Source organism: Homo sapiens, chromosome 2 (genome assembly GCF_000001405.40).
Source record: "Homo sapiens chromosome 2, GRCh38.p14 Primary Assembly".
Lineage (NCBI taxonomy): Eukaryota > Metazoa > Chordata > Mammalia > Primates > Hominidae > Homo > Homo sapiens.
The window spans coordinates 64,381,675-64,399,993 of NC_000002.12; the positions used below are offsets into that span (position 1 = coordinate 64,381,675).

The 18,319-nt window shown below is 43.0% G+C and overlaps 1 long non-coding RNA gene across 6 annotated transcripts in view; it reads right to left on the reverse strand.

Moving 5' to 3' along the window:
* Positions 1-9,281: 9,281 nt before the first annotated feature.
* The window catches only part of LGALSL-DT (LGALSL divergent transcript), a 63,923-nt gene continuing 54,885 nt past the window's right edge, over positions 9,282-18,319 (reverse strand). For all 6 annotated transcript variants that reach the window (XR_002959392.2, XR_001739494.3, XR_001739493.3 and 3 more), the window contains 2 exons: positions 16,602-16,700; positions 9,282-13,991 (listed from right to left, as the gene is read on the reverse strand). This is a non-coding gene — a long non-coding RNA (LGALSL divergent transcript). The remainder of the gene's footprint in view (positions 13,992-16,601; positions 16,701-18,319) is intronic.

The following is an 18,319-nucleotide window of genomic DNA, read 5'->3' on the forward strand; positions in this document are numbered from 1 at the left end:
TGACTCTCATGGTTAAACAACTTACAAGACAGGCACTATTATTACCTCTGTTGTATAGATGAGGAAGCTGAAGCACAGAGGTTAAGTCACTTCCACAAAGTCACACAGTTGGTACATAGTGGAATGAGGATTCAAGCCCAGACCTTCTGAATCTAGAGGCTATATTCTTTTCTCATCACCCCTCCAGGAGAAAGGGGGAAAAAGCCCTGCTTTCCATTAATCCCATGACACAAGCCAAGCATGTCCCTAAGCTACTTCCACAGGTGCAATGGGGACTGTGTCTCTCAGGACGAGATAGGCCAGGAGTAGACAGGCATGCTGGGGGCAGGGGCTGCTTTGTGAAATTAGTTGGAAATACATTCCTGGGGAATGTGGGGTCCAGGTACCACTCAATGACCCCTTTCCTCATCCCCTTCTTTCTCACTTTCCACAGTGGCCATACCAAAGTGCCCTTTGTCCTCAAGTCCCCATCTCCCCCAGTCTCTGCTAACGGCCTCATTACCCACTGCACCAAGAAAACAGGGGCCATGCGGCATAACCCCTTCCACTGCCTGCTCCTATAAACTTACCAGTATCTCCAAACAATCTTGGGTTCTTCCATTCGGACTAAGAGGATGTGTTCCTCATCTCAACCAGGACTCTACCCTGATCCTGTTGCCTGCTCTCTTGGAGACTCCTAGGCCTGGTTATTTTATCTCTGCCCTGGCTCCTGCTCTTCAACCAATCAGCCCATCCAAGTCCCTCATAGCCTAAAAAAGAAAATCCAGCCACCAACCCCTTTGAATTGCCATATATCATGAAAGAGGCCTACAGTGGTGCCTCTACTTCCTGATACCCAATCATTCCTTAGCCCACTGTAATCTGGTCTCTGACCACCATGCCCCTCCCTTCACAAACAGTTCCTATGGTGGTCATGGAAGACCTAATCTTACTGAATTCCCTACGGTGTTTGAAGCCCCCTTCTCCTTTTGTAAGCCTCAGCAGTTGAGTATGGTGGTAAAGGATGCTGCTTAGGAGACCGACGGCCCGGGTGCAAATCCCAGCTTCTACCTGTGTGATCTTGGGCAATGGGCAAGTGACTCACTCTCTCTAAGCACCACTTTCCTCAGCTATACAATGGTGGCGATAATGCTCTCTACATGCTAGGGCTATTTAAAGATTAAATGAGAGGATAAATAGAAGGCCAGACCTCTGGATGAGCCATGCATTTCCTCTTTGTTAATTACTGACCACCTTCCTCTACTCGGTGCTGACTTTAGAGCCCCCAGATATCCTTTGCAGAATTATCTGCCCCCCTTAGAGGTAGTAGGGGAGCACAAGCCCCAGCAAGAAAAAATGTGCACCCCAGTGCCCTTGGCATCAGTCAGTCAAGTCCTATTCTCATTCACGCTGTTTGGCCTGCAGTCAGACTCTGAGGTCTGGCCATTTTGGGATACGGACAAGTTCAGATTCCTGGGCCTACAAAGGGTGGCTGGTGCTTGCCCTGAGAAGCCCTGGCTGACTGAGGAGCTGGCAATCTAGGGGACCTGCCCTGAATGAGGGAGACGGAAGCATCAAGAACAACCCCCAGGTTTCCGCTTTGGGTGCCCAAAGAACTCCTAGGCAGAGGGGCAGACCTGGGGAAAGGGACCTTCTATGCAGTGCGGTGCTGGAGAAATGGAGAGGTCCAGCCAGCAGTCATATCACACACAGGGTACAGCTGTGGTGCCATCAGCATGTGGACAGGAGGAGGCCCTGCTTCCTCTTGCTTTCTCCCAGTTGCTACACATGACTGCATTTCCTCAATTCAGTTCAAGGCAAAATTTCCCATTTCTGATAACTGCTGTTGCATTTGCTTGCACCATCACAACCTGAGACCCACTTACCTTTTCAGCTTGACATTTCTTGGTCTACCTTGAAGGTGTGAATTCAGACCTCAGACCAGCATGAGGACCAGCCCGTGGTCCACATTCTAAGAGGAGATTATTTTCTTACCTCCGCCTAGTGCCAGCTGTGAGGCATTCAGATTTCCTTGCTGGCCTGGCAGCCAGGCGGGTTCATTCCTTGTTGACCCTTCCATTGAGAGTGTAGCTCTTTGGTGTCCTACACTCCCTCCCATCCCCCTCACCTTGACTGCTTTTTCTTTCTTAGAGGCTACATATAATAACGGTGGATCTTAACAATCAGGTACCTTATATTAGATGACACACTGTACCTTCCTAAACACAGAGATTTGATCTTATTTTTCCCTACTGAAAGCCTTAGTGACTTTCTCTTTCTTGGAGTGTGAAGGCCAACCCCTTGGCCACAAATACAGGGCCTGTTCTCATCTCTCATCTCCTGACACTTCCCCCTCCTACCCCACACCATGCCCAGGAACCTCAGGTCCACTGACACCAGATGACAGTGATTCCCCAGCAGACTCGCTGCAGGGGCCACTTTGGAGGGCAATACAGAGGATGCTGCGTGGAGCCTCTGCCTCAGAAGTTACAAACAACCTGCATCCAGAGCTCCCGCCCCCATCCCCTCTTATGGCTCATATTTTGTTATTTAATAAGAAAAAAAAGATAAAATTTTCAGGTTTTAGCTTACAAATGTAGAACTTTTTTGAGAAAAAAAGGCATTTAAAAGTAGGATTAAATTTGAGCAATAAAAAGATTATGTTTCAGGAAAATGATAATATTTTATAGATGTACAAGTATTACTTGGGATGCAGACATTTTCAAACCCATATTTAAGTGGTTTCTAAATTTTTAATAGAAAGAGTTTATCTTAACAATATCTTACCAAGTTCAAGCACCAGCATTCTTTGATAAACACTTGTTATAGTGTTCTCGAACTTTGTTGTTTTACATTTTTTATTTTTTACTTTTTATTTCGAAATAATTATAGACTTACAGGAAATTGCCAAAAAAAGCAAGGTTCGAGGTACCTCTGATATTTATTCTATTTTTATTCTTTTGAAACAGGGTCTCGCTCTGTTGCCCAGGCTGGAGTGCAGTGGCGCAATCTCGATTCACTGCAACTTCCGACTCCTGGGTTCAAGCGATTCTCCTGCCTCAGCCTCCAGAGTACCTGGAATTACAGGTGTGCATCACCATGCCTGGCTACTTTTTTTTTTTTTTTTTGTATTTTTAGTAGAGACGGGGTTTCGCCATGTTAGTCAGGCTGGTCTTGAACTCCTGGCCTCAAGTGATCTGCCCACCTCAGCCTCCCAAAGTGCTGGGATTTCAGGCATGAACCACTGTTCCCGGCAGCCAAGATTTGATCTTAGCAGATGCTACAATAGTAACCACTATAACAAAATATGTCTCTAACATTGAAAAGTTAAAGAAAATTTAATAAAGAGGCTTTTATGCATTTTATGTCTCCCATTAAATAACCTTGATATTGAAACTTTTCCATACTCACTTCCATTACCTCCCACTTCCCCCATGCCTGATGGGAGACTAATAATTCACTAGATTTTTAAAATTAACTATCACATCTCTAATAAATTGAAATAAGTTAATTAATGCTAATCTTGAGGAATTGCAGGGAAAGTGTGTCTGGAAACCTGTTATTTTACAAAAAGAGCCTTACATACCTCAGGTCTGTGTGAATTCTCTCCCCTACCTCCGGGGCCCGGTAGAATGGAGACTGACCAGATTTTTCTTTCTCCAGGAAGTCTGCACTAGAACTTCTCTCTCCTGAATCTCATCTGGGTTCCCCAGGCTAGCTGAATGAATCTTCTCAACCATGTTAGAATTAGTTTTGTATGTTGGTCTCTTAGTATAACAGTATGAGTATGGGAAAGACATTAAGTATGGTGGGAAAGTTGTTTTTTGTTTTGTTTTGTTTTCTTTTCTTTTTTTGAGATGGAGTTTCACTCTTGTCCCCCAGGCTGGAGTGCAATGGCACGATCTCGGCTCATTGCAACCTCGGACTCCTGGGTTCAAGCAATTCTCCCACCTCAGCCTCCCAAGTAGCTGGGATTACAGGTGCCCGCCACCATGCCTGGCTAATTTTTTTTTATTATTATTTTAGTAGGGACGGGGTTTCACCATGTTGGCCAGGCTGGTCTTGCACTCCCGACCTCAGATGATCCACCCTCCTCGGCCTCCCAAAGTGCTGGGATTACAGGCATGAGCCACCATGCCCGACTATGGGAAAGTTTTAGAGGCAAATAAAAAAGGTATCTCAAGTCCCAATTACTCCATTCATCCTTTTAAGACTCAAAACTTCTCATTGGTAAAATGAGTACAACCTAGTCCAGAGGAGCTACAGCAGATAATGCCTGTGCCTGTCATTTGGCACAAAGAAAGACATGGTTGAGATTACTGGCAGTGAAAAGAAGATAAAAAAATTGTTATTTTTAAAATTGCAGCTGCTTGAATAAATGCCTTCAGGAGAATGAGAGAATTTCTTTTAGAGAGAGAATTGCCTTTTTGTCTAAGACAATTCTTTGTTTTCATTCTCCCACTTGGTTGTAAAAGTTGAGGCCCTGACCAAGTGTGGTGGCTCACGCCTGTAATCCCAGCACTTTGGGAGGCCAAGGAGGGTGGATCACCTGAGGTTAGGAGTTCAAGGCCAGCCTGACCAACATGGTGAAACCCTGTCTCTACTAAAAATACAAAACCCCGTCTCTACTAAAAATACAAAAAAATTAGCCAGGTGTGGTGGTGCATACCTGTAGTCCCAGCTACTCCAGAGGCTGAAGTAGGAGAATCGCTTGAACCTGGGAGGTAGAGGTGGCAGTAAACCAAGATCACGCCACTGCACTCCAGCCTGGGCAACAGAGCAAGACTCCATCTCACAAAAAGTTGAGGTCCCTCCCGCAACATGGTTTAGAAGAAAAAGAATAAAGTATAAAATAATAATAATAACAAAGTTAAATTCATCCCTTTCTTTTGTTCTTTTTCTGATACCTTCTCTTTCCTTTCTGATCCATTTGGCCCTGAGGCCATCAGTGAGTGGGGTGAGGTAGGTGTCCACAGTGAGGGGCTCTCAGTGGCTAGGAACAGTGTCTCCAAGCCCCAGTGGGGTAAGGAGGGTGTCCGCATGGAAGGACAGCCCCATGCCCAGTGTCAGAGCCTGCATATGGTGAGAAGGACATCCAGATGGGAAAGAGGATAGTAGTAGAGACAGAAGATCAGTTACACACGAGGATGGATCAACTAAGCTGTGAAAGGAAATCTCCAGACCCCAATTCACTCTGCCAAAAGGAAAAACTTAGCCTGAAAGCTGAGTCATGCAAGAAACCGCCTTTCCTTTTGTTCCTAAGCAGACAGCTACAGATAAAAGGTTAAATATCTCCACAGGTAGCTGCTTTATCTTCACCTTACCTTATATAAAGTGTAGCTTTACTGAGCGCAAGATGAATACAGAATTGACTACTCCCCTACCTGCTCCTTTTCTCCTGCAACATATAGACTCAGTAATGTGACCATACCCTCTCTCTTGCCCCACCAACCGCTTTTCCCCTTTAAGTATTTGAAGCCCTCAAAATCACCTTTGGAAAAAGGCAGGATCACAGGTTGTTCCTGTGGATTTATGTTTCTTTTTTCAGGGCATGTCCTTAACGTTGGCAAAATAAACCTCTAAATTGATTGAGACCTGCCTCAGACTCTTTTTGGTTTACAAAGTAAATACATTAAGGGTAGTGGATGCCACTGTCAGGAAAGGGAGTTACAAACAGGAAAGAGAAAAAATGAACCTTGTGGTGGTTGGATTGGAATTGTAGACATCAATGTGAACTCACAGTTTTCCATATATATAGATTTATGAATAAAATAAACATAAATGTGTATATATGTGGAAAGAAAGATTGCTAAGTAGTATTTTATGGTATGAATGTACAATACCACAATTGTTTATCCATCCTGTTGCTAGGCATTTACCTTATTTCCAGTTTGGGGGCTATTATGAATAAAGCTTCTATGAACATCTTTACACAATTCTTTTTGGATACATATTTTCATTTCTCTTAGGTAAATACTCCACAAGTGAAATTATTGGGTCATAGGGTAGGTCTTTGCTTAACTGCATAAGAATTCATCAAATGGTTTTCTGAGTTGGTTGTACCATTTTCACAACCAGCAATGTAAGAGAGATTCAGTTGTTTGACATACTCACCAACATTTGGGGCTTTCAATGTTGCCCCTTGAGTAGGATTAAAAGGCTATCACATTGTGATTTTAATATGTATTTTCCCGATGACTAATAATATTGAGCACATTTTCATGTGCTTATTTGCTGTTCATATGTCTTCTTCCATGAATTGTCTCCTCAAATCTTTTGCCTATCTCTTAAAAATTTGGCTGTTTGTCTTTTTGTTATTGTGAGTTTTTAATATATTCTGCATACAAGTCATTTGTCACTTACATGCACTGTGAATATTTTTCCTACTCTGTAACTTGCCTACTTATTTTCTTAATGGTTTCTTTTAATGAGCAGATTTTAATTTTGATGAAATCTAATTTCTCTTTTTTTCTCTCATGACTATTTATTTTATAAAAATTTTCTACCTAAGAAAATTTTGCCTTACTTCAGGAAGATATTTTTTATGTTTTCTCTTGAAACTTTAGAATTTTAGCTTTTACACATAGGTCTTTGTTCCACCATGAATTACATCTTTATGTGGTATGAATAGTGATTGAAGTTCATTTTATCTTGTTTAATTTATCCAATTATTCCAGAATCATTTGTCAAAAATAATTTTCTTTCCCCATAGGAAATCCTTGATGCCTCTGTCAAAAATCAATAAACCATATATGTATGGGTCCATTTCTGGACTCTTTGTTCTGTTCAATTGATCTATTTGTCTACCCTGACCTAAATAACTCCCTACCATGATCATAGTAGCTCCATAATAAGTATCAGCATCAGATACTTAGAAAGCTCACTTAGTGTGAGCTTTGAGGTTTTCCCCCAACTAGATTGTTTTGGGTATTCTAAGCCCCTTGTATTTCCATTTAAATTGTAAGATTAACCTGCCAATTTCTACAAAAATCTGTTAGGATTGTAGTTGAAATGATATTGAATCTTTAGGTCACTTTAAGTAAACTTGACATATAACAGTATTGAATCTTTCAATCCATGGCATGTATCTTTCCATTTTGCCGGTCTTCTTAAATTTCTCTCAAAAATCTTTTGTTGGGGTGGGTGCAATGGCTCATACCTGTAATCCCAGCACTTAAGCAGGCTGAGATGGGAGAATCACTGGAACCCAGGAGTTCAAGACCAGCCTGAGCAACATAGCATGACATCATCTCTATAAAATTTTTTTAAAAATTCCCTTGGCATTGTAGTGCATGCCTGTAGCCCCAGCTACTCAGAAGGCTGAAGTGTGAGGATCAGTTGAGTCCAGAAATTCGAGGCTGTAGCGAGCTATGACTGTGCCACTGCACTCCAGCCTGGGTGACAAGGCGAGGCCCCAACTCTAATCAAAACAAAACAAAAATCTTTTGTAGTTTTTAATGCAAAAGTATTAAACATCTTTTATTAATTACTGTTTTTGAATCTTATTTTCCAATTATTTGTTGCTATTATATAGAAATGTAATTTATTTTGTATATTAGCCCTCTATCATTAGGATTATCTATACAATCTTGTCATCTTCAAATAAAGACAATGTATTACTTTATTTCCACTCTTTAATTCTTTTTCCTTTTGTTTTATTGCTCTGGCTAAGACCTCTAGTTACAAGTTTGAATGGAAGTGCTAGAAGTGAACAACCCTTCCTTTTATTCTGATTTTAGGAGAAAAATATTCAATATTTCACCATTTTATGTTAGCTGTAGGTTTTTTCATAGATGTACTTTATTTATTTATTTATTTATTTATTTTGAGATGGAGTCTCACTCTGTTGCCCAGGCTGAAGTGCAGTGGCACGATCTCGACTCTTTGCAACCCCTGCCTCCTGGGTTCAAGCGATTCTCCTGCCCCAGCATACTGAGTAGCTGGCATTACAGGCATGCGCCACCATGCCCAGCTAATTTTTGTATTTTTAGTAGAGACAGGGTCTCACCATGTTGGCCAGGCTGGTCTCAAACTCCTGACCTCAGGCGATCTGCCCACCTCGGCCTCCCAAAGTGCTGGGATTACAGGCCTGAGCCACCATGCCCAGCAGAAGTACTTTATTAAATTGAGGAAATTCCCTTCTATTCCTAAGTTTTAAGAGTTTTTAACCATAAATAGATGTCAAATTTTATCATATGCTTTTTTGTTTCTACTGAGATTATTATACAGTTTTTCTCCTTTATTCCATTAATATTGTGAATTACATTGACAGATTTTCAAATGTTAAACCAACTTTACATTCCTGAGGTAAACCTTACTTGGTCATGATGTATTATCATTTTTGTGTATTTCTGAATTCTATTTGCTAATATTTTGTTAAGGATTCTTGTGTCTATGTTCACAAGTATATTTGTCTGTAATTTTCATTTCTTCAAATGTCTTTGTCAGGTCTTAGTATGAAAGTTATGCTGACTTTATAAAATGAAAGTTTCCCTTCTTCTCTCTTTTTGAAAGAGTTTATGCAAGATTTGTATTTTTTCCCTTAAATTTTTGATAGAATTTACAAGTGAAATCATAGAGCCTTGGAGTTTTCTTTGTGGAATATTTTTTATAGTTAATTCAACTTCTTTATGAAATATGGGTTATTTGGATTATCTATTTCTTCCTGTTTTGATTTTGATAAGTTGTGTTTTTCAAGGAATTTGTTCATTTCACATAAATTATCAACTTCATTGCCATAAAGTTGTTCATAGCATTTCTGAATTATCATTATAACCTGTAAGATTGGTAATGATATCCTCTCTTTCATCCCTATATTAGTAAGGTGTATTTTCTCTCTTTTTTAATTGATCGATCTTGTTAGAGGCTTACCAATTTTATGAATCTTTTCAAAGAACCAATTTTTGACTGAGTTAAAAATCCCTGCAGCTTGTTTTCCAATATACTGACTTCTGCTTTTATACTTATTATTTCCTTCTTTCTTTGGGTTTACTTTTCTTTTTGTTCTACATTTAAAAATGGAAATTTGGATAACTAATTTTAAACCTTCCTTCTTTTTCTAATACTAACACATTAGAGCTATTAATTTCCCTCTAAGCACTGCTCTACCTGCACCCCACAAATTTTGAAATATAATATTGAATTTTCATTATCCCTCAATCTGAATATTTTCTAATTCCCCTAAAATGTCTCCTTTGATCCATGGTTATTTATAAATGTGTTATTTAATTTCTAAATATGTAGGATTATCTAGGTAGTTTAATATATGATCTAATTTCATTGTGGTTAGAGAACATACTCTGTAAGATTTCAATATTTTGAAATTTATTGATATAAAACAAGTATATAACTTACCTTATAGAAAGTAGAAAGTGGCCATCAGAGAGGTGTAAATAAAATGCCATGGGAGTTAGAGGAGGGAGAGGTAAATTCCAACTATATTAAACAATGGAAGACTTATGGAAGGAGGTGGGATTTGAGCTGGGTTTTGAAAGATAGATAGAATTGGGAAGTAAGGAGATAGAGGGACAACAGGCAGGAAAAGCTACAGTTAGACTCAGCTTTCTTTAAAAGGCGTAACTATGATTACCTTTTATGAGACCCAAGGCCTCAGAGCACTGCTGGGAAAGTGACTGCAGACCCATGGCCCCAGTATTCTTCTCTCAGTTGCCTCTAAATATCTGTTTTCAAATAACCACTTAGACATTTTAAACTCTGAATTTGGCCACCTCCTGTTTTAGAAACTGAAGCAGTAACATGTACTTTAAACTCACAATGAGAAGGGCCAAATTTCATAACTTGAAAAGCAATTTCCTTTTTATTTTTAGGATATGCACCATTCTATGATTTCTTTTTCTGCCCACAGATCTGGGAGCATGAGTGTGATACACTGAGACATTTGTGTTCCTAGTCACAGCCTCTCCCTTTGGGGAAGTTTAGACTTCTTAATGATGTCATTGGAGAAAACTTCACTTATCTCTATGGTCACATGGCAAGAGTCACTCTTAGAAGTGTCATGGGTAGAAGGCAAGTGGCTCCTCGGGATCTGTGTCATCTGAAAGAAGCTCCTGGTCAGAGCCCCCTGAGCGAGTGATACAAAAAAAAAAAAAAGTCTGGGCCTGAGATCATTATCCTTCAGCCAAACACATGGAGGCCACAATTCAGATCTGCATACTCCCAAATCTGTGTGAGCTGAGACTAATTGTAGTTTTTCCTGCCTGCTGTCCCTCTATCTCCTTATTTCTCAATTCCCAAACACACATAGGCCACAGTTCAGATCTGCTGGCATCTTTAGGGGTGTACAGCCACCATCCCAGAGCTCCAGGGCAGGGCTGGTATTTTCTTCCCCACTTCATATGCCTCAGCTCCCAGAGTGGCATTTGTGGAAGTTCATCAAGTGGACAGGCAGAGCCAGCCTGAGCTTTCTTCTTCCCTGAGCTCTGGTCCACAGCAGGAGTGGACTTTACCCTGAACTTCCCTCGAGAGATAAGACTGTTGCCCTTATCTTTGGTGATTCCTGGGGGTTGAGTTCCCAGTGTGGAAAGGTTGGTTTGGAATGTTTTCTCAGATGTACTCTGACATGCTAACACCCACATTCCTGCCTAAACTAAATAGTCCTGCCAGCCCTGCCAGATGTCATGGTCTTTTGTTGCCATAGATGCCCCTGGAGGAAAGGGGTAAAGGGCTGACCTGGAATAAACATGAGCCCTTGATAGCCATGTCCTTAAAAGACTGAGAAGCCACACCAAGCAAAGTGTGGCTATCAAGACCTCTAGTTCCAGATATAGTCATTGAACATAATTCCTGGCAAGAAAGGGGTAATCCAAAGTCAGGCAAAGGTTAGTCTTCTGTGGGTCTAATGAAGTCTATTTGAAGAGTTCATCCTGATGCCTCATTTGGCCTTGCTGAGGTGTGTCCTTTAGCCAGAAGCTATACGGGGCACACTAGCATATATCTGGGGCACACTAGCATGTATCCAGAGCACACTAGCATGCCTGTCCATGTGCGACACATTTTAGCCATGTGTTTACAGTGAAACCTGGCCAAAGGACTCCACCTCCAGTGAGCAGCCCCTCCCTGACTTTTGCAACTCTGAGTCTGGAAGGGTTCCCTATCCAGGATGGTGATGAAGATGAAACTGTCCCTAGAATGTCCCTCTTCAGAGGCAGTCTGATGAGTTCATGTAGGAGACACAGACAAAGGTTAAGAGCAGAAAGTGCCTGTGATGGCATCTGGTTGTGAGGCTTTCAAGTCTGGATGGTCTCAACAAAGCCTGCCAGGCCAGTTCTTAACACGGGACAAAGACTGGACATCTGGTTCCCTCCCACTCCAAGTGAGGAGGGCAGAAAATACAAGGAGACTATGGGCTAGAAGCCCTCTGAGGCTAGTTAGCCTGGAAGAGTTTGAGAGAGTTTAGTGACAAACACTTCAAACTCAAGTCCAGTACCTTACTCCTGATTGTTGCTTTAGGTTGACTACCCTCATATCAACTCAATAACTTTTCCTCCTTCTCCTCCCTACTTTCCTCTCTCTCTCATAGTAGAGGGGGGCCAGTATTTGAAGAAGTACAAGATTAGGAGGCATTGGGGTTGAGACTAGGAACTAGGAAAAGGTCCAAGTGAAAAAACTAAATGCCTGATCAGGACTTATGGCATATGTTTGTTAAGAGAGAGGTGGAGGGATTGCTGATAACCAGAAAGGCCAAGACACGTCTTGTTGCGAAGGCCTCCTATAGATTCTGATAGTGCATTTATAAGCCAAGCCAAATGCCACAGACAGACATGTTCCAAACATAATGGGTTCCATGGGCTTGGGTAAAATGGATGTCATACTTGCTTGAGATGTTTCCAATATCTTCCCAGACTGCACCCAGAGCACTAGCTATTAAAACAACGTCACCGAAACAGGAGTGCCCTGGAGTGCTCCACCCTCCACTCTGGGGGTTAGGCTTTGTGCATTAGCATACATTCCCAGCACTTATTAGAACTCCCTCCTGAGTACAAGATACTTGGCTTCCAACATAATTGGTTTACATTTAAGTGCCCAAATGTGATTATATAACTTTGATTAAATTAACAGGTCTGACTTGATTTGAACCTTGCTCAGGTATGAGCCAAACAGTCATCTAAATAATAATTAAAACAAGACAAACCAGCCTTGCTGGACTCCAGTGTTGGGAACTGAAGGAACTTCCGAGTCATCAGATGGAGTTGATGGATCCAGAAGCCCAGCTCCCAACACTATGCTCACTTGCCTTTGAGGCTCAGTGCTGTGGTCTGGGGCACCCCAGCTGTGGCCAGCAGGGACTCTCAATTGCTTGCTCTTTCCAACTTAGCAATGATGAAGCAGAGTCTAGGAGTTGAAAGCAGAGCTAGGATTTTAGTTCAACACAAAGGGTTGAAGGCTATTCTCATCTAACCTCCCACCCTGTTTAGAAACCCCTGACTGTTGTCACACCTCTGCCTGGCCTGGGTTAAGAACCAGAAGCCCACTACCCCCACCAATCTTAAATGATTCCAACTATGATCAACCTTCCTTTGTTTTGATCTCAAATCCACTTTCCTATAATTTTCATTCAAAAGTTATTTTCTCTTTAGGCCTCCCATGCCATTTCTCAACTCCCTCAGCCCACTCACAATAAATTCTGGAACCCAGAAAGCTTACTCTGCCACAGTATGTTGATCAGTGGCTTAGACTCTTATGAAACTCAATCATAAGATGGACTCTGCCCTGACTTTTGAACATCACAGCTTCAGATCTGGCAGGGGTCAGAGGAACTAAGGAACTCAGTGCTATGTTGTATGAAATCATTTTGAAGACTAGAACAAAATCGGAGAGGAAAACGAAATAAGTATTTTAAATCAGAGCTTTTGCCAACATAGCGGCATATGTTGATGGGAGAATCTGAATATTTTCTGAATAAGTTTTTGTAGCAAACTGACAGTGCCATTTATGATTAGTTTATAATGATATTGTGTGACTTTCATAATATTAGACATGGATCCCAGTGAGGGCCAGTGTGGGGAAGGGGAAGCCAGATACTCAATATCTTGGTTAGATGTTCTATATCCAGAGAATAGAATTATTCCCAGTTTACACAATGTTATGGCACCTGTGATGCTGTACTATAGGCAGCTATGTACCTGCTTGTCTCTGCCACTAGACTATGGGGTTCTTGGAGGCAGGAAGCATATCTTCTCCATCACCGTGCCCTCAGGGGTGGCATGGGATAGGCTCTCTGCAAGTGTTTGGTGGATAAACTGATTCATAAAAGATGTTCATTCCCTGGCTGGGTTACCAGTTCCCAGGGGTTCATCAGTGGTGTACTCTGACTTCAGCCTTGCACTGTGTATCTCAGCACACTTACATTCATAGGTGAACACATCCAGGACAGCAAACCTTAAATGTAGAGATCAGGAGGTGACTTATAATAGAGGAGAATTACTTACTTTAAAAAAAGATTTGCCACACAGCCATCCTAAACAATGAACTCCCCTCCAACATTTAAAATGATCCAATTTCTAAAACTTTGGGGCCAGGTACAGTGGCTCACACCTGTAATCCCAGCACTTTGGGAGGTGGAGGCAGGTGGATCACTTGAGGCCAGGAGCTCGAGACCAGCCTGGCCAACATGGCAAAACCCCGTCTCTACTAAAATTACAAAAAAAATTAGCCGGGCCTGCTGGCACATGCCTGTAATCTCAGCTACTCGGGAGGCTGAGGCAGGAAAATCACTTGAACCCGGGAGGCGGAGGTTGCAGTGAGCCGAGATCGTGCCACTGCACTCCAGCCTAGGAGACAAAGCGAGACTCTCTCAAAAACAAAAAACAAAAACTGGCCAGCAATTGAGTGCACATATCATAGGGGAATGACACCACACTCAGCTACTGAAGACACTGTGGGTCCATGGCAAATGATGTTTGAGTTCAGCCATGCCAAACTCAGAGATCAACCTTGACATCACTTTGATCTTTTCCACATTTCTGCTGCCATTTGCCATCAAATCCAGAGACCTGGAGGAAAAGTAAGAAGAAAGAACTTTCAGTGGTTTGAGATAAGCTCCTTTTCACATCCCTGAGCTCAGGGCAGGCAAAGCCTGGTGAATGCGGCACACAAGGCCCAGGGTCCCTGCCCTTGGAAGCATGCACACTGCAATACTGTACATCCCCATGGTCCCTAGGGTCAAGGATAGGATGTCCACATTTAAGTGCTATTATTTAATCATAACAGCCTGTGTGGCATTTTTCAGATAATGGAGCTAAAGCTTAGAGAGATTAATGTCACCCAAAGTCACACAGGTGAGGGCTGGGCATTAAACTCGGGCCTGCTCATGTCCACATGGGGAGGACCAGAACTCCCAAGGGCTTCCCCAGATGGAGTGTGTCTGGCCCACAGCATGAGAGAAGGGGCACTGCTACCTTTGGCTTCTTGGGCAGGGCAACTGTTCTCTTCAGGTTTTGATTTCTTATTACATGCAGAGAACTCCTCTGTTTTCCGGGTCTATTTGTAAATTACTTAGAAAAACCTGTCTGGGTGTCCATTCTGCTGTCAGGGCAATGGGAAGTGGGAAGCCAGCAGGTGAGTGGGGTGCCAGTGATTTCCTGTCATGGGGGGCTGGACTGGGTTCTGACGCCACTCTGCTATCACTTCCCCTGCCTTCTTTCCCTGTCTCCCCACGCCTCTTCCCGCACACTCAGTCCATAGGATCGGGGAGACACCACAGTGGTCCTGGCATCCCCACACTTCAATTCTGTCTTGGCAAGTGTCAAATAGAGACCCTGCCTTCCAGATACCCAACTCGGGGGCTTGGCCTAGTTTACAAGCCAAAAAGAGGAGAGAAAGTCTATCAGGAGTCCTTCATAATCTCCAGACTAAAGGAGAGTGTTACTGTGGGAGAACCAATGTCCTCAGGTGGTCTCTCTTCAGGCCTTTGCCTAGAGTAAGCCTGTTATGTGGCATCAGGAGTGGCCTCAAGATGGCTAGGGTGGTCCTGCCCTCTGAGAATGAAGGGGCTAGAATAAAATGGGTGAATTAGTTTGCTTCCCATTGTTCGCCCTAGCCAGAGGAAGCTTTGTAAAAGATGGCTCTAATCCGATTAGCCCCCAGTTAATAATCTCCTTGCCTCATCTGCAGAATCCTGGCCCTTCATCCTTGCCCCACCCACCCCTCCTCTTCTTCAGTCTCTTCCCCACCCCATCTCCATCCATGCTTTGCCCTCACTGTACCTCCTCTTCATCCTCAAACACCCCATGCACTTTGACACCATTGAGACTTTGTTGTTCCTTCTACCTGAAGTAGCCCTCCCTCAATCCTCTCCTCACCATCTTCACCCAGCTCAGTTGTCACCTTCTTGCTGTAGCTTGCCACATGTCAGGCAAAATTAATTGCCCCTCATGCAAATTCCCATAGCACTTGAATGTGTCTCTATATCACTCATCATGAGAGCTATTTGCTCATATGTGTCTCACTGGTTGGATGATACACTCTTTGGAGAGGAGTGATTACTTTATATTCCTGTATATCCCTGGGCCCTAGAACATGGAAGGGGGTGCATGAATGTTGTCAGGAAGTGGCTGCAACAGTGGAAGATATTCTTCAAGGGGGTCCTGGGCAGCTCCCTGGGGTCGAGTACAAAAGACAGGCTCCTAAGTGACCGGACCTCTTCTCCCTCCCTTACCAAATTGTCTGATGGGTCACAGCTTGGGTCCACCAGCTCTGGTGCAAAAGGTCATTCACCAAAGGCAGAGTGAGGTTTGGGAGCTCCAAGGTTTTTTTGAGGGACATCAAGGTTACTTTTTAAACCTATGATGATGGTTCCCCACAAGAGAGGTGGAGACAGAGAGGTGGGGTTCACAATTTTGAGCTAGGTAACTTAGAGCAAATTGCTTAATCTCTCTGAGGTACAATATCCTCATCTATACAAATGGGGAAATACTACATACCTCATGTTCCTGTGGAGATTAATAACTACTCTTTATTGAATTCACTGTAGAGCTATGGGCTCTACAAATATCATCCAGTGAGAAAGTGACAGAGACAGAATCAGAAGTTGTACCACCATTCAATATGAAAAGGACGTTGGAAATTGCGAACATCTACAAAAATGTTAGCTATACATTTTTCTTTTTCTTTTTCTTCTTTCTTTCTTTCTTTCTTTTTTTTTTTTTTTTTGAGATGGAGTCTCACTCTGTCGCCCAGGCTGGAATGCAATGGCACAGTCTCGGCTCACCACAACCTCCACTTCCTGGGTTCAAGCGATTCTCCTGCCTCAGCCTCCCGAGTAGCTGGGATTACAAGCGTGCACCAACATGCCTGGCTAATTTTTTTTATTTTTATTTTTATTTTTTTAGTAGAGAAGGGGTTTTGCCATTTTGGCCAGGCTGGTCTCGAACTCCTAACCTCAGGTGATCCACCCGCCTCGGCCTCCCAAAGTGCTGGGATTACAGAGCTATAACTATTTATTGAAAGTATTTAGGTCTGAAAATATTTGTCCTGTTGGGAACTGAAACTAGAAAAAGAAAGACATTTTTTTTTCTGGGCCACTGTGAGTAGCTGTTGCAGGAAGTGCAAAGGCGAAGGGGTGGTAGGAACAGCTAGTTGTCCACCAACAAATTGTGCCTTACCTTCCATAGGCTTAATGGTTTCTGAGACGTGGCAGCCCAGCCAGGGATTGCACTTCCTGGCTCCCCTTGCATGTAGGTGGAGCTATGTCATACCTTCTCCTGTGGAATGTGATCAGAAGAGACAGGTGTCACTTGCAGGTCAAGATGGTTAAGAAGAGGGTGTGACTTGCCAAAAGATAGAAGCAACTTGGGTGTCCATCATGGATGAATAACTAAACAAAGTATGGTGTATACTGCAATGGAAGGAAATTCTGACACCTTCTACAACATGGATAAACCTTGAAGACATTACACTAAATGAAATAAGCCAGTCACAAAAGGACAAATATTATATAATTCCACTTATATGAGGTACCTAAGACAGTCAAATTCATAGAAACAGAGAGTAAAGTGGTGGTTTCCAGGAGCTGAGGGAAGGAGGGAAGTGGGGATTTCATGTTGTTTAATGAGTGCTGAGTTTCAGTTTGGAAAGATGAAAGAGTTCTGGAGATGGATGGTGGTGATAGTTGCAAAACAGTGTCAATGTACTTAATGCCACTGAACTGTACACTTAAAATGGTTAAAATGGGACATTTTATGCTATGTATATTTTACAATAGTTGAAGAAGAAAGAAGAGGAGGAGCAAGAGGAGGAGGAAGAGGAGGAGGAAGTGGAGGAGGAGAAGGAGCTGTGACTTCTCCATATCTGCCAGTTGGAGGTGGAGAACTTTTAGGCCATAGGATGAAAGAACCACACAAGGGAAATAGCCTGTGCCCCTCAATCACCACATGACAAAAGACCCTCACTGACTAGGAATCTGACATTGGAATCTTATTTGAGTGATAAATAGACTTCCAATGTGTTAAGTCATTGAAATTGGGATTCAATCTGTTGCAGCAGCTAATAGAACCCTAACACGACCCACAGCTGATATTCACAGCTGATGTGGGAGAATGGCTACCGGTGCAGCAGGGTCCCCTGTGAAAGAGATAGGGGGTAGTTTCAGAAATGGGCATGGTTTGAGACAGAGAAGACATTTCTGCTGAGGGCCCAGCTTCAAGTTCAGCAGTTCTCAAAAATTAAGTCACAACCCTTTGTCTGCAAGGTGGCTTCCAAGGACTTTGTTTCTAAGGTAACTCAGAGGAGCTTACCTCCTTGAAAGACATGTCACCCATTCTGGGTTAGGAACTGGGTGTGGGCTTGGGGTATGGAAGGTAGGGGAAGAAGGAGACTGTGGTCCTCAGTCTGTGAGGGGTAGGCATGAGATCAGTCCCCACATGCTCTCATAGGCAGATCATGCCCTGGGTAAGTGGCTCTGCCATTCCATTTGAGTGGCAGCTCCTTAGCTGAGCATAGCATTGAAAGAAGGCAGGGATTGCCGTGTCTTGTGCTGAAAGGACAATTGTCAGTAGGATATATACCATGGCTGCTAGCTGTGACCAGAGCTAGCCACAAACTCCATGATCAGCAGCAAAGGAAGTCCCAGCATCAGGAGTGTAGAGGAGGTGAGAGTGACCAGGACAAGCTCTGGGGCTCAAATGGGGCTGTGGAATTTCAACTGCAGCTACAGTGTGTGGAAGGACTTTCCTGGCTGTCCAAGCCCCAGTCCCTCTGCCTCTGGCAGCGGTCTGGGACCCCCTGGGCATGGCAGGGGCTGAGGAGCCCCACAGCCTCCAGGCATGCATCTGAGATGGTTCCAGTAGCCCAGGAGACAAGGACTGACCCTTGGCTTTCTCAT